General features: G+C 35.0%; 1 protein-coding gene across 1 annotated transcript in view; it reads left to right on the top strand.

Annotated features, from left to right (window-relative positions):
• Positions 1-10,497, top strand: part of KHDRBS2 (KH RNA binding domain containing, signal transduction associated 2) — a 743,556-nt gene extending 733,059 nt beyond the window's left edge. Inside the window, exons 15-16 of the transcript NR_146870.2 lie at positions 6,724-6,783; positions 10,300-10,497. The gene's annotated coding sequence lies outside the window, so the exon portion shown is untranslated. The remainder of the gene's footprint in view (positions 1-6,723; positions 6,784-10,299) is intronic.
• The last annotated feature ends 5,125 nt before the right edge of the window (positions 10,498-15,622 follow it).

Below are 15,622 nucleotides of genomic sequence, written 5' to 3'. Positions count from 1 at the left end.
ATCAGTAATAAAAAGCCTACTATCCAAAAAAGCCCAGAACCAGATGAACTCACAGTTGAATTCAACCACTTGTATAAAGAAGAGCAAGTATTATTCCTATGGAAGCTATTCCAAACATTGAGGAGAGGGAGTCCTCCCTAAGTCATTCTATGAGGCCACCATCATCCTGATACCAAAACCCTGGCAGAGACACAATAACAACAACAATAACAGGTCAGGCCAGTACCCTTGATGAACATAGATGCAAAAATCTTCAGTAAAATATTAGCAAACCAAATTGAGCAGCACATCAAAAAGCTAATCCACCATGACCAAGTAGGCTTTATATCTGGGATGCAAGGTTGTTTCAACACATGCAAATGAACAAATGTGATTCATTACATAAACAGAATTGAAAACAAAAACCACATGATTATTTTGTTACATGCAGAAAAGGCTTTTGATAAAATTCAACATCCCTTTATGTTAAAAATCCTCAAAAAACTAGGCATTGGAGGAATCTGCCTCAAAATAATAAGACATATATATAACAAATGCACAGCCAACATTATACTGAATGGGGAGCAGTTGAAAGCATTCTCCTTGCAAATCAGAAAAAGACAAGATGCCCATTTTCACCACTCCTAGTCAACATAGTACTGGAAAACCTGGCAAGAGAAAGAAATAAAACACATCCAAGTAGTAAGAGAGGAAGTCAAACTATCCCTGTTTTCAGACAATACGATTCTATACCTAGAAAATCCCATAGTCTCCACCCAAAAGCTCCTTGAGCTGATAAATAACTTCAGCAAAGTTTTAGTATACAAAATCAATGTACAAAAATCAGTAGCATTCCCATGCACCAACAGCATCCAAGTTGGCAGCCAAATCAAAAATGCAATCCCATTCACAATAACCATAAAAAGAATAACACCAAGGAATACAGTTATCCAGGGAATTGAAAGATCTCTACAATTAGAATTACAAAACACTACTCAAAGAAATCAGGGATGACACAAACAAATAGAAAAATATGCCATGCTCATGTACAGGAGGAATCAATATTGTTAAAATGGCCATTTACCAAAGGCAATTTATAAATTCAATGCTATTTCTATATAATATAGAAATGCCCAAAGCTCCTTGAGCTGATAAACAACTTCAGTAAAGTTTTGGGATACAAAATCCATGTACAAAAATTAGTAGCATTCCCATGCAACAACAGCATCCAAGTTGGGAGCCAAATCAAAAATGCAATCCCATTCACATGGGATATATAATGACATTCTTTATAGAATTAGGAAAAAACTAATTTAAAATTCACATGGAACCAAAAAAAAGGCCTGAGTAACCAAGGCAATCCTAAGCAAAAAGAGCAGAGCAGAAGGCATCATGTTACCCAATTTCAAACTATATTACAAGGCTACAGTAACCCAAGCAGCATGGTATGCCACAAAAGCAAACACATAGACTAGTGGGACAGAATAGAGAGTCCAGAAATAATGCTGCACACCTACAACCATCTGGTCTTCAACAAAGCTGACAAAAACAAGCAATGGGGAAAGGATTCCCTATTCTATAAATGGTGCTGGGTAACTGGCTAGCCATATGCAGAAGATTGAAACTGGACCCCACCCTTATACCATATGAAAAATCAACTCAAGATGGATTACAGATTTAAATGTAAAATAATAAACTAAAAAACCATGGAAGATAACCTAGGAAATACCATTCTGGAAATAGGAATGGAAAAAGATTTCATGACAATGATGCCAAAAGCAATTGCAACAAAAGCAAAAATTGGCAAATGGGACCTAATTAAACTAAAGAGCTTCTGTACAGCAGAAGAAATTATCAACAGAGTAACAGACAACCTACAAAATGGGAAAAAATATTTGCAGACTATACATCTGACAAAGGTCTAATAACCAAAACTTATAAGAAACTTGAACAAATTCACAAGCAAAAAACAATCAACCCCATTGAAAAAAGGTCAGAGGACAACAGACGCTTTTCAAAAGAAGACATACATGTGGCCAACAAGCATATGAAAAAAGTGCTTATCACTAACCATTAAAGAAATACAAATCAAAACCACAATGAGATACCAACTTGGATGGGCATGGTGACTCACGCCTGTAATCCCAGCAACCTGGGGAGCCGCAATAGGCATATCACTCGAGGCCAGAAGTTCCAGACCAGCCTGGGAAACATAGTAAAACCCCATCTCCACCAAAAAATACAAAAATTGGCCAGGCGTGGTGGCATGTGCCTTGTAGTCCCAGCTACTTGGGAAGATGAGGAGGAGAATCACTTGAACCCAGGAGGTGGAGGCTGCAGTGAGCCGAGATCATGCACTACACTCCAGCCTGAGTGACAGAGCAAAACTCCATCTCAAAAACAGAAAAAAAAAAAAAAAAAGATACCATCTCAACCAGTCAGAAAGGCTGTTATTAAGAAGTAAAAAAAAAATATGTGCTGGAGGGGTTGTATAGAAAAGGGAATACTTATATGCTGCTCTTGGGAATGTAAATTAGTTGAGCCATTATGGAAACCAGTGTGGCAATTTCTGAAAGAACATAAAACAGAATTACCATTTGACCCAGCAATCCCATTTTAAGTATGTAAGCCACCATCCCCCAACCTCAGCAAAATAAATCATTCTACCATAAAGACACATGCACTCATATTGTTCCTTGCAGCACTATCACAATAACAAAGATATGGAATCAGTCTAAATGTCCATAAATTGTAGACTGGATAAAGCAAATGTGGTACATATGCACCATGGAATACTATGCAGCATAAAAAATGAGATCATGCCCTTTGCAGCAACATAGACAGAACTGGACGATAGTATCCTAAGTGAACACAGGAACAGAAAACCAAATACCACACGTTCTCACTACTAAGTGGGAACTGAACATTGAGTACACATAGAATCAAAGAAGGGAAAAACAGACACTGGGACCTGACGGTGGAGGGTGGGAGGAGGGCGAGGATTGAAAAACTACCTATCGAGTACTATGCTTGTTACCTGGGTGACAAAATAATCTGTACACCAAACCCCAATGACATGCAATTTACCCATATAACAAACCTACCTATGTACCGCTGACCCTAAAATAAAAATTCAAAAGAAATTTAAACTTAGAAACTCTGTGCATAGAGGGATTAAATAAATATTCATGTCTTTTTACATTAAAAAAGAATGGTTTTTGTATAGTGCATCATAAAACATGTCAATCTTTGGAAGCTCTGCATAACTCAGTGAAACAATTTTTCCAAATGACCAAAAAGAATCATTTAACCTAGAATATAACCTAATAGATTTTAATGTAACAATACAAAAAGTTCATTGATATGGTTTATTAAAGATTAGTTGCTAGGTTGAAACTAAAACTATCCCAATTTTTGTGTAGAATCAGAAAATATATTCATAATCATCTGAAAAGGTTACTTATCAAGTTTTGGTGTAAAATCAAGAAAAATATTCACAATCGTCTGAAAAAGTTAATGCTTTTCTCTCTTCCAACTAGTAGTTATTTCTGTATGGCCTGATTTTCTTCATATACTTCCACCAAAACATATAGCAATAGAAGGCAGGCAGAACCAAACAGGAGGATCCTACTGTTATTAGAGCTAACTCTTCTCATTACATTTTATTTGTCTTGGAAAATATAATTATTCCTCAGAAGTAGTATATTAACATGCAATGGGCTTATTGCTGTTATTCATAAGCAACTTAATACACAAACAAGTTTAAAATTTGTCTCTTTTCATTTTGAATATGATAAACAATTGAAATAATCATATAAATAAATGTTCTTTGAGTTATTCAAAAATTTTAAGACTGTGAAGGAGTCCTGAGACCAAATGTGTTTGAAACAGTACCACAGACAACTAAAACACATTGTTTAACATTATACCACTGTTTAATGCAATTTAGATTGATCCATTTGTTATTTTTGTATTTTTTTCTTATATCTCATACTTTATGGTTTTTCCAATATCTATTTTCATTGTTTAGACAAGAAGATGCCCTCCTTAATCTCCCTATTGTCTTCTAATCTTGACAATCCTAAGGTCATTGCATTATTCACCGTATTTCACGTTATGTTTACATTTCTTTTCTTTCAGAATCATGTGTTAGACCAGAAGCTACATGCCATGCTATGTTGGCAAACCCACTCTGGGGGACTTTTTTTTAAGACCCCATTCCAAGTGTTTGCTGAGATCTTTAAGCTACCAAACTGACGTAACTATTTATGGTGTTGGAGTTGGAAAGAGATGCACGCAGCCTACTCTCCTGAGTGGTAGTGGCCAACTCCAACATACCCTGGTCTAGGTTGATATTAATGGCCAATGATTTGTGTTTTTTGAGAAAAGATAACTCCACTTTTTCCTATTTTCAACCAGAACTTATCTGTGGTGATGGTATTGATATCACTAATCAAAAATTAGAGTCCGTCTGTTTTCTGTTTTTCAATCTCTATCTAGTAGTCACCCATTTGGACCCTCAGTGTGTTATAGAGACAAAGCTGTAAAATGAATCAAATATTATTTGCTTTTGAAGTGCAGGTTCATATTATGCACTTTACATTTTAAATTTGACTATCTTCTGGATAATGTTATCTGCAAGGACTTTAAAGATTAATAGTTTGCCTTGCTAGTGCTTAAATTGTAGTTCTTGGACAGCAACTTCTACATCCCTTGAGATCTTGGTAGAAATGCAGACTCTCAGGCCTCATCCTAGACTTAATCAAATCTGCATTTTAACAAGATCCCCAGGTGATTCTTATGGAAACCATGTTTCTGAGCACTGGTTTAGGGTAATTTGAGCTCTAATGATTTCAGCTTCCTGCCTTATTATTGGAAAATTGTTGCTATATATATAGCCCTCATAAAATGTGTTATGATTAGACAAAATATCTCATGTTTTGGCTTGTTCCTTAGTTTGTCTTCAATGTTATTTTTCCATAGTTAGTTGAAGTCTCTTTCCAAATACTGAAATATTTCTATGTATTTTCAGAATCCATTTTCTTTAAAACAGATTTTCTATTCTCTTTTGAAGTATTAGATTCATCATTTCAGTTCCTATTAGATTTTTGTCTCCTTGAAAATATTGATGTGTAAATTCTTTGCTCTGTGGAATGATCAGTCAGAGTTGGTGCATATTTTTTCTTCCCTGTTGATTTGGAGATTACTTTTATGTGTTACTAAATTAGTAAAGTGTTAAAATGCTGTACCTTTGATTTCTGTGAATTATTCCAAGCCCTTGTCTATAAAGGCCAACATAATTTACTATCATATGGTTCAAGAGCTTGACAGAGAAATTGGACTTTTTGGGGAAGAAGAATGCATATAAAATGTATTAACAAATTTATAGGAGTTTAAACAAGTCCCTCTAAGGCAGCCGATCTCACCCTGACTGCACTTCAGAATTATTTGAGAAGATTTTAAGAACCTAGAGTACTGGCATCCTCTCCTAGAGACACTGGCTTAATTGGTCCAGCATTGTTTTCATGTGTTTGTATTTTTTCAAACTCTCGAAGTGATGCAAACCAGGGATTAAGAGTCACTGCTCTACCAAAGCACAAAGCCAAAAATAAACATGACTTGGTCAGCCACACAGTAACAGGAGTATCTTTCATTAAGGAGTCTACTTATCCTGGGTACTAGTATATAAAGTGATTAAATTTGTTAGCTGGGTCCATCAAATTTAGTTACATATCTTTAAGAAGTATGGAAATGTTTGTTTTCAACCTGCCTTTATGAAAACAGCAAAAATATTGAAGGAAGATAATGAGGTTACACTATGGAATAAATTATAGAAAGTTTAATAAATAGCAAATTTTAAGTTAAGTCTGCATGCACACTTAAAAGAATGTAAGGGTGAATGTATTGGCAATTTTCTCAAACCTATCCTCCAAGAAGAGGCAAAAATACAAATACAGCTGGTCCTCAACGTTGTTTGATTCAACATTGCTTTCTCATTATAATATTGAGAGTTGTCGGAGCCACTGTCTGTGTGGAGTTTGCACATTCTCTCTATATCTGTGTAGATTTTCTCTGGGTACTCTGGTTTCCTCCCACATCCCAAAGATGTGAACGTTAGGTTCATTGGCCTATCTAAATTGCCCTAATCTGAGTGAGTGTGGGTGTGGATGTATGTCCTGCAATGGAATCGCATCCTGTCCAGAGGTGGTCTCAACCTTGCACCCTGAGTTGCCTGAATAGGGTCCAGTCACCCTTGACTCTGAACTGGAATAATCTGGTTGGAAAATGGATGAATGAATGAATACAAATTATTGTAAAACAGAAATTTGTAAAGTATATAATAATCATACAAATGCATGATAATAAACGATGTGGTACAAAAGCAGTCAGTGACACTACCCTATTTGTGAGTGCTGGTATTTGAACTGTGTGGTGGTAGGAGGTGCTCCTCATAATTTTTGCTTTGAGAATATTTATTCTTTGATTTACCCCACCACCGCTGTGACCACTGATACTCACTGATTCACCAAACATGGGATAAATAATTATCTTACTTGTTTTTTATTAACCTTTCTTAAATGTGTGTATAGCTCAAATTTATTTCAATGTTTAATATTAGAATTGCTTGGTGTCTTTAGAAATTGAAGATGCTATTTTTGTGACTAGAAATATGCCATAGAAACTTAACTCTTGTTTAAATTAGCCTATGGTAAAATTGGTTTCATTATGTTATTTTGCTTGAAGTCACAGTTTCCAAGAACCTATCAATGACATTATGTGAGGATTTACTGGACATAATCTCAGGTGAGCCTAATGCATGAACACAAATTGGCCTAGCACAATAACCTGTGGTTATATAAAGTTTTGTTTTTCTTAAAATTTTCTGTTATTTTTTACATTCTATTTCATAAATATTTTATAATATACTTAATATTTGATCAAATATGTACATCCTACTTATTAATATATAATTTGAAATGTAATAGATATCTTAATATTGATATACTTAAAATTTTGTCAGAAAACTTGTCATTGGCAACTTCCTCAGATTAAAGGAGAGAAATACTAGATAAAGATTTTTGGTTTAATGTCATATATCTTTACGTGTTTGTCAAAAGAAGAAATATTTAGAGAGACTGTATTAGTCAGCTTGGGCTGCTACTACAAAATATGAGGAGCTGTATGGCTTAAACAACAGAAATTTACTTTTGCACAGTTCTGGGGACTGGAAGTCCAAAATCAGGGAATAGCGATGCGTCTTTCTGGTGAGGCCTCTCCCCTTGGGTTGAAGACGGCTGCCTTCTCTGTGCTTACCTGGCTTTTCCTTGGTGCAGGCACTCATGAGAGAGCTCTCTGGTGTCACTGCTTATAAAACCACTAATCCCATCAGACCTACCACCCTTATGATCTCACTTAACCTTAATTACTTCCTTAGAGACTCCAAATACACTCACTCTGGAAATAGAGCTTCAACATAGTAAATTTTGGGGTGGGGGAGACACAGATGCAAACATTCAGTCTATAACAGAGAGGATCTCAGTTTATCACATACCTTGCTTTTCTCACTCAACATATTCAGTATGCTACATATACTGTTTTTGAGCATGAATTGATGTATGTGTGTGAAAATTAGAAAGAAATATATACAAGCAGAGAAAGACACACACACACACACACACACACACAGAGATTAGCTAAAAATATTTTACGTATGAGCTAACATAATCCCCTCCACCTTCCTTCACAATGACCTAAAATTTTATGTCAAAAGCACATGTTGAAGCAGAGGATCCACATAATAAGAACAAGGCTTAAATTAAGAAGACTAAATCTATCTTGGGAAAGGAAGAAGCAACTGGGGATGATGGCCTAGTGCCTATCACTTCTTTTTGTATTTTTATTTTTATAAAGATGGGGTCTCACTTTGTTACCCAGGCTGGTTTCCAACTCCTGGCCTCAAGTGGTCCTCCCACCTCAGCCACCCAAAGTACTGGGATTACAGGCATGAACCACCATGCCCAGCCCCAATTATCACTTCTTAAGCCAGACAAAACATTGAGCTAGTCATGGAGCAGCTTCCTACTCAAATTTTTTTAAAATTTTTTTTATTATACTTGAAGTTTTAGGGTACATGTGCCCAACGTGCAGGTTTGTTATATATGTATACATGTGCCATGTTGGTGTGCTGCACCCATTAACTCGTCATTTAGCATTAGGTATATCTCCTAATGCTATCCCTCGCCACTCCCTCCACCTCACAACAGGCCCCAGTGTGTGATGTTCCCCTTCCTCTGACCATGTGTTCTCATTGTTCAATTCCCATCTGTGAGTGAGAACATGCGGTGTTTGGTTTTTTGTCCTTGTGATAGTTTGCTGAGAATGATGGTTTCCAGCTTCATCCATGTCCCTACAAAGGACACAAACTCATCATTTTTTATGGCTGCATAGTATTCCATGGTGTATATGTGCCACATTTTCTTAATCCAGTCTATCATTCTAACTCAAATTTTTGTAAAGAACTCCTTACTGAGCCTCTTATCTAATGTAGTGCCCAGGAAATCTTTCATTCAGCCACACCTGAGAGTCAGGAAGTAAATGAATGATTTCAAGATTTTCTCTTCCCTACCACTTTCCCCAGTTAAACCTAGTTGGGAAAGGAATAAGCATTTTAAACAAAAGATTGCTTTGCCCTTTATTATTTATTTGCTATTTGCTATTTTAGCTTGGAGGCTAAGAACATTTTATTTTTAAACTCTTGAAAATTTTTAAAAATGATTTTAAAATACAAAAAGCCCTCAACTTTTACTTATGAGATTAACGGTTCCATAAGACTCTTAGTTAAGGTGCTGATTATGAAATCTGCTGAAGCTACTAGTTAATTTGAAGCTACTAGTTAATTTGGTAAGAATAATGCTTTTTTAAAACTTATACTTTTTATTTATTTTAATTTTTAGGTGTATATGTTTATGGAGAACATGAGATATTTTGATACAGGCATACAATGCATAATAATCATATCAGGAAAATGGCATATCTATCACTTCAAGCATTTATACTTTGCAGCACAAAGAATACAATTATATTCTTTTAGTTATTTTTAAATGTACACTTGAATTGTTATTGACTGTAGTCACATTATTGGGCTATCAAATACTAGATCTAATTCATTGTTTCCAACTACTTTTTTTTGTATCTACAAACAATCCACACTTACTCCTACAGCCCCATTACCCTTCCCAGCTGCTGGTAATGATCATTCTCCTCACTGTCTCCATGAGTTCAATTGTTTCGATTTTTAGCTCCCACAAATAAGAGAACATGCAAAGTTTGTGTTTCTGTGCCTGGCATATCTCACTTAACAAAATGACCTCCAGCTCCATCCATGGTATTGCAAACGACAAGATCTCATGCTTTCTTATAGCTGAATAGTACTCCATTGTGTATATGTACCACATGTTTGCTATCCATTCATCTGCTGATGGACAATTAGGTTACTTTCAAATCTCGGATATTTGAATAGTGCTCAAGAAATATGGGAGTGTAGATATCTCTTCTATATACTGATTTCCTTTCTTTGGGGTATATATCTAGCAGTGGGATTGGTGGATAAGATCATATGGTAGCTCTGTTTTTAGTTTTTTTAAGGAGCCTTCAAACTGTACTCCATAGTGGTTGTACTAATTAATATTTAGTCAATTAGTGTATGAGGGTTCCCTTTTCTCCACATCCTTGTCAGCATTTGTCATTGCCTGTCTTTCGGATAAAAGCTGTTTTAACTGGGATGAGATGATATTTCATTGCATTTTTCTAATGATCATTGATGAGCACCTCTACATATATCTATTTTCCACTTGTATGCCTTCTTCTGATAAATGTCTACTGAGATCTTTTGCTCATTTAAAAAATCAGATTATGAGATTTTTTCCTGTAGAGTTTTTTTGAGATCATTATATACTTTATTAGTCCCTTGTCAGATGGATAGTTTGCAAATATTTTCTCCCATTCTTTGGGTTGTCTGTCCATTTTGTAGACTGTTTCCTTTTCTGTGCAGAAGGTTTTTAACATGATGTGATCCCATTTGTCCATTTTTGCTTTGGTTGCCTGTGCTTGTGGAGTATTACTCAAGAAATCTTTGCCACAGCCAATGTTCTAGAGAGTTTCCCTGATGTTTATTTTAGGAGTTTCATAGCCTTGAGGTCTTTATACCATGTTCTATCCTAATCAGCTTATAGAATAATTGCTATTTAACTGCTCTATAGCATACTTTTACGTACCTGAGAGTTATCATATCTTCTTTTTATCTTGTTTTTCTGTTTCCAGCAGGGCCAAATCTCCTAAACTCCACTCAAATTTTCTGACTCTGTGAGTTTTGCAGATTGTCTGTGAATTTTGTGGTGAATATATATATCTGCCTCCTCTCTCCCCCATTATTAATTGGTATCAGGGTTTTCCTTGGAAACAATAAAGATGCCTTGTAAATAATAAACACTCTGATTTGAGATCTTGAAATAAGCACAATATTATGGAAAATTTTGTGTCTTCAGTAGTATAAAATTAAGAGGAAAGATAGTGTCTTTGATTTTCACCATTACTTTATTTTATATGTGTGTGTGTGTTAAAGTTAATTATAAACTAATATTAATTTTCTGTAAATAATATGTAGGCCTATACACATAGATGACTACATGTTTTTACTATACACGTTAATACAGCAGCTATGTGTATGAACGATTGAGTGCATGTGTGTGTATTTTTGTATTGCTGTTGGAATTTTCAAATATTTTATGGCAGAAATGGCTAATTAGCTTAGCTTAAGTTTTGTACACTTCTTACTTTTTAAAAATAGTTTACTTGCTCATAATTATTTGAAATTTTTCAAGTCATTTTACACCAGTACTCTCATTCTGATTCCCTCAACAACCCTGCGAGGTAAGAAGATGTAGCAGTTATGGTTTTCTCCTCCTATAATACCGGGAACTCTAATGTTATTCACAGCAGGAATATGTTTAAAAATTTTATTTCCCAGCCTCCTTTGAAGCTTGAAGAGGCCACGTGATATGAATATGGTCTTGTTGCCAATTACTTGCAAGTGGAAGTTGGCTGGGGATTTCTAATATAGGCTTGCCCCATTTTCCTAGTTTCTTTCTCCTCCTCCTCTTGTTCTTGATAAATTGATGTTATAACTGAAGGCCCAGCGATTATCTTTGAGCATGAGGGAAATGCCACGGGATCACATTGATCTCAGCCTAAACGTTCTTGTTTGTACCACTCTATCTGTTCTGGCCTGTTCCCATAGATCTCATGTGACTAAAAATCTAAACCATTTTGTTGTTGTTGTTACATGTTGCCAAACATATTTCAAAAATGGCATGGAAATATAATGTTATGCATTTATGTGTATAGATCAGAAAATGGAGGCTGATTTGTTTTATGGCCAAATAATTGGTACAGTGCAAATCCCAACTGAGAAATTAAGAAAAGAAAAAAATCAGCCCAATATACTTAGAAGACAAAAGAAACTCATATCTATGTGAGATAAGGAATTTGTTACCTTTAAATCTGACCTGTTTATAAAACAAAACTCTGATTTCCACCACTTTCCTGCTCTGTTTTCACTTGCTTTTTTAAAGATAGAATTACATACCAGGAATTCTTGACATATCTAGTAGTTGAAGAATAGCTAGTTGGTGATGTGTAAAACCCTAACTTTCCCAATAATATGTCTGATCTCCCTTCTCTTGCACCATTTATGCTTCTTCAAACTTACCAAAAGCTTGCATGCTACTTATAATTTTCTTATATAAGTCTTTCTTGTGTTTCAGAATCATATTATTCATTATCATGCCCTCGTTTAAGCATTACTTTCTTGGGAAAACCTTTTCAGATCTACCCCAGTTTATACATCTCTCTTATGGGAGCTATTACCATATGTTTCTTTTAAATTAGTTGTGAAGATGTTAACCCTGGACTTCTTAAATGTCTAATTCAAGTCCTTATAATTATTTCATGACACCAATACTGACAAAACTAGCACACAGAAGATGTTCAATTAATGTTTCCTGTGTTTTCATAGGATAAAAAAAAACAGAATCAAGCATTGAAAATAATATTGCTTTCACATTCTTATATTTGTTAATGAATGCTTTTAAATTGTGGTTCATGAAATCAATTTAGTGGGCCATGATTAGCACTTTACAAAAATAAAATAGAATATAATACAAAAGATACAATATCTTAGAAACATCAGAGTACATCATATAATATTTTCTTGGTTAATATAATCATTCATGTATCCATTTAAAAAATACTTATTGTGCACCTACTATGTTCCCTGCACTGGTTAACATGTATATATATATATATATATATATATATATATATATATATATATATACACACACACACACACACACACACACACACACACACACATATATGCTGGGATACTGGGTCATATAAAATGTGTTTTAATTTTGGGTATAGTCTCATTTATTTGAAATATCTAGGATTCCTGCCTGTCAAGCCACTCCTTGTGGGATAATTATATTCCCTGTCCATTGAGATTTGGTTTGGGAACATGACTTGATCTGGCCAATTAAAAAGAGGGAAGTGATGTGTACTACTTCCAAGCAGAAGATTTAGAAGTCATCTTATGGTTCCATCTTTGCTCTTTTTTTCTGTGCCATAAATCTGATGATATCCCAGATAGAATATGATCCATAATCCTGAGTCTTGGAAAGAAAATGACATAGAGTAGAACTGTACTCAATCCCCAATGGACATATATTAGATGCAAGAAACAAAGCTGAGGGCGAGAGAGAGAGAGAGAGAAATTTGAGACTCATTTGCTGCAACAGCCTAACTTGGGCCAAAGTAACTATTTTCTGCTGAGTAGATACTGAACAAGAACTCCTTGGTTTGAGGGGAAAACAGTATGGATGGGAATGCATGAAAGAAAAAAATGATATTGGGAATATAATTTTTCTTATACAGATCTTTCTAATATTTCACAATTCTATTATTCATGACCTAGTTCATGCATCACTTTCTTGGGAAAGCCTTTTCAGATATACCCCAGTATATACACCTCTCTTATGGGAGCAATCAACATGTGTCTTTTAGATTAGTTGTCAAGGTATTAACCCTAGGCTTTTGAAATGTCTAATTCAAGTCCTTATAATTATTTCATGACACCAATACTAACATGATTAGCACACAGAAGATGTTCAATTAGTGTTTACTATGTTTTCATGGAAAAAATATACAAATATTTTCTTAATATGCAAATATTGCCAATATTGTCTTTGGACAAAGTATCCCAAGCAAAGAAACCCCAGTTAGAGGGACTATGGTATATATAAACATAAACGTGCGTGAGAGAATGTGACAAATGTCTGCTTTCATGATGTTCATAGTCATTGGGAATATTGTCATCATCAATGTTAATTATAGATATGTGCAAATAAAGTGAGAAAAAAATCCTAAAAGTGACATCTATCTGCAAATAAATATTCAAAATAAAGTTGTTTGTGTGGACATTTTGTCATCTTTCAGCACAACTATTATGTATATCATTAGAAGTATGTCAGAATAGCTTTGTTGTTTTGATTACCAAAATAAACTCTAAACATGTTCAACCAGTTTTCATGGTTTCATGCTTATGCTGCCTGTTCTTATGGTCACAAAATAAGAAAAAAATTGTAATGCATAATTGTCAGTCCTAAAGATTTTCTCTTAATATACAAAAGCATGTATTTTTTTTCTTCTTTGAAACTAGTATAATAATATCTGTCTACTTAAAATGTTTACTGGGCCAACTTATTCTGCCTGACAGGCCTCCAAATTCAGTCTGATATAAGAATTCAGTTAATGAAATTTAAAGCAGCCTCATTTTCATCCTTTTTTTAAACACAACTATGTATTAGAAATCTGGTGAAGGCTTCTGTCAAATTGAACTATTGAACTCAGGGCAGTAAAAGTCCCTCCCCAGGCAAGAGATTTAAATCATTTTCAAAGTTAATTTCCTGCTCCCAGATGGAGAACAAATCTAATCGGGTTTACTTCATTCTTTGGATGAACAGGAAAATGTCACTTGCATACTCAAAAAATGAAAAGAAAATCTTAGGGAAGGCAGCCTCCAATCCACCTCACAGCAGAAAAAGAAAGTAATCCTGAAATGGAATGTATGGGGTCATTTTGAAACTGAAAGCAAATCTAAATTTAATCTAGACAAATCTCTAAGCTTACTTCTAACCTAGTTCTGTTCAGAGATGATGTCTGTTTACCCCTGAAATACACGTTTTTAAAACTGTTCGCTGTAAATGGGAAAAACAGTTTCTAGTCCTAAAAAGGAATCTGAGTAAACTGCCTGAACTTAATCTGTGAAATGAGGTTAGAACCCTTCAAAGCCCTTTGGATAGTAGAGGAATTTTGCTCCTTATCAGCTACAGCTTAAAAATAAAATAGGGTGAGTTGACGTTTGAATTACAGAATAATGGGACTATAGAAAAAGTGAAGTAAATATTCTTGTTCTTGATTTAACAGCTGCTGGATTCTATTTAAAGCTTTGTTGCTATGTACCTGTTAGAAAAGATTCACATCTGCTGTCAGGCAGACATTGAGTGCCCACATCCCTCAATTGTGTTCTTTCTTGGCAACAAAAGCATCCTCAGTAAAGATGCAGGCATATCATTAGTTCTTCATGAAACAGGTTGACACTGGCTGGGCTTCCCTCAATCTACCCTACCACATATAGCTTTGCATGGCTTCCATGAAAAGAAAAGCAGTAGGTTACAATCTAACATGGAGATATTTTCCTAAGTAACTTATATAACTTTGTCTGTGCTTGAAGAACAAATTACCCCTGAAGTCAACAATACAAAGAAATCTTTTCAGAAAGGGCTGCAATGGAATTGATATTAAAGTTTACATTTACTTATGAATATAAAGTAGGAAAACACTTACGCAAAGGCATTTAGAGTTTAAAGTAGGATTTCATCCATTCTTTGTTTTACATGTGAGTTCAGGTTGCAGGACTGCAATTTATTGTTTAAAGTACATTTGTTTGTTTTACTCTATTGCTTAATCCAAAACATGTCTGGATAATTAAAAGTAAATTGTCTATATCTAATAAGCAGAATACTCAAAAATCAATAACAAACATTTATAGATTAAAAAGAGGACTTCAGGGGTCTATTCTCTTTCAAAACATGGATATTGTTGCTCAGTCAAAACAAGGTAAGTTTTGAGACATCTCTATGAGCCATGAGTTTTCTCTCTCTATATATATATATACTTTAAGTTCTGGGATACATGCGCAGAATGTGCAGGTTTGTTACATAGGTGTACACGTGCCATGATGGTTTGCTGCAACCATCAACCCGTCATCTACATTAGGTGCTTCTCCTAATGCTATTCTTCCCCTACCCTACTACCCCCTGACAAGACCTGGTGTGTGATGTTCCTCTCCCTGTGTCCATGCGTTCTCATTGTTCAGCTCCCACTTATGAGTGAGAACATGCTGTGTTTGGTTTTCTGTTCCTGTGTTAGTTTGCTGAGAATGATGGTTTCCAGCTTCATCTATGTCCCTGCAAAGGACATGAACTCATTATTTGTATAGCTGCATAGTATTCTATAGTGTATA

Source organism: Homo sapiens, chromosome 6 (assembly GCF_000001405.40).
Source record: "Homo sapiens chromosome 6, GRCh38.p14 Primary Assembly".
Classification (NCBI taxonomy): Eukaryota; Metazoa; Chordata; class Mammalia; order Primates; family Hominidae; genus Homo; species Homo sapiens.
The sequence above is the reverse complement of the archived record's forward strand: the minus strand, read 5'-3'. Positions and strand labels throughout refer to the sequence as shown.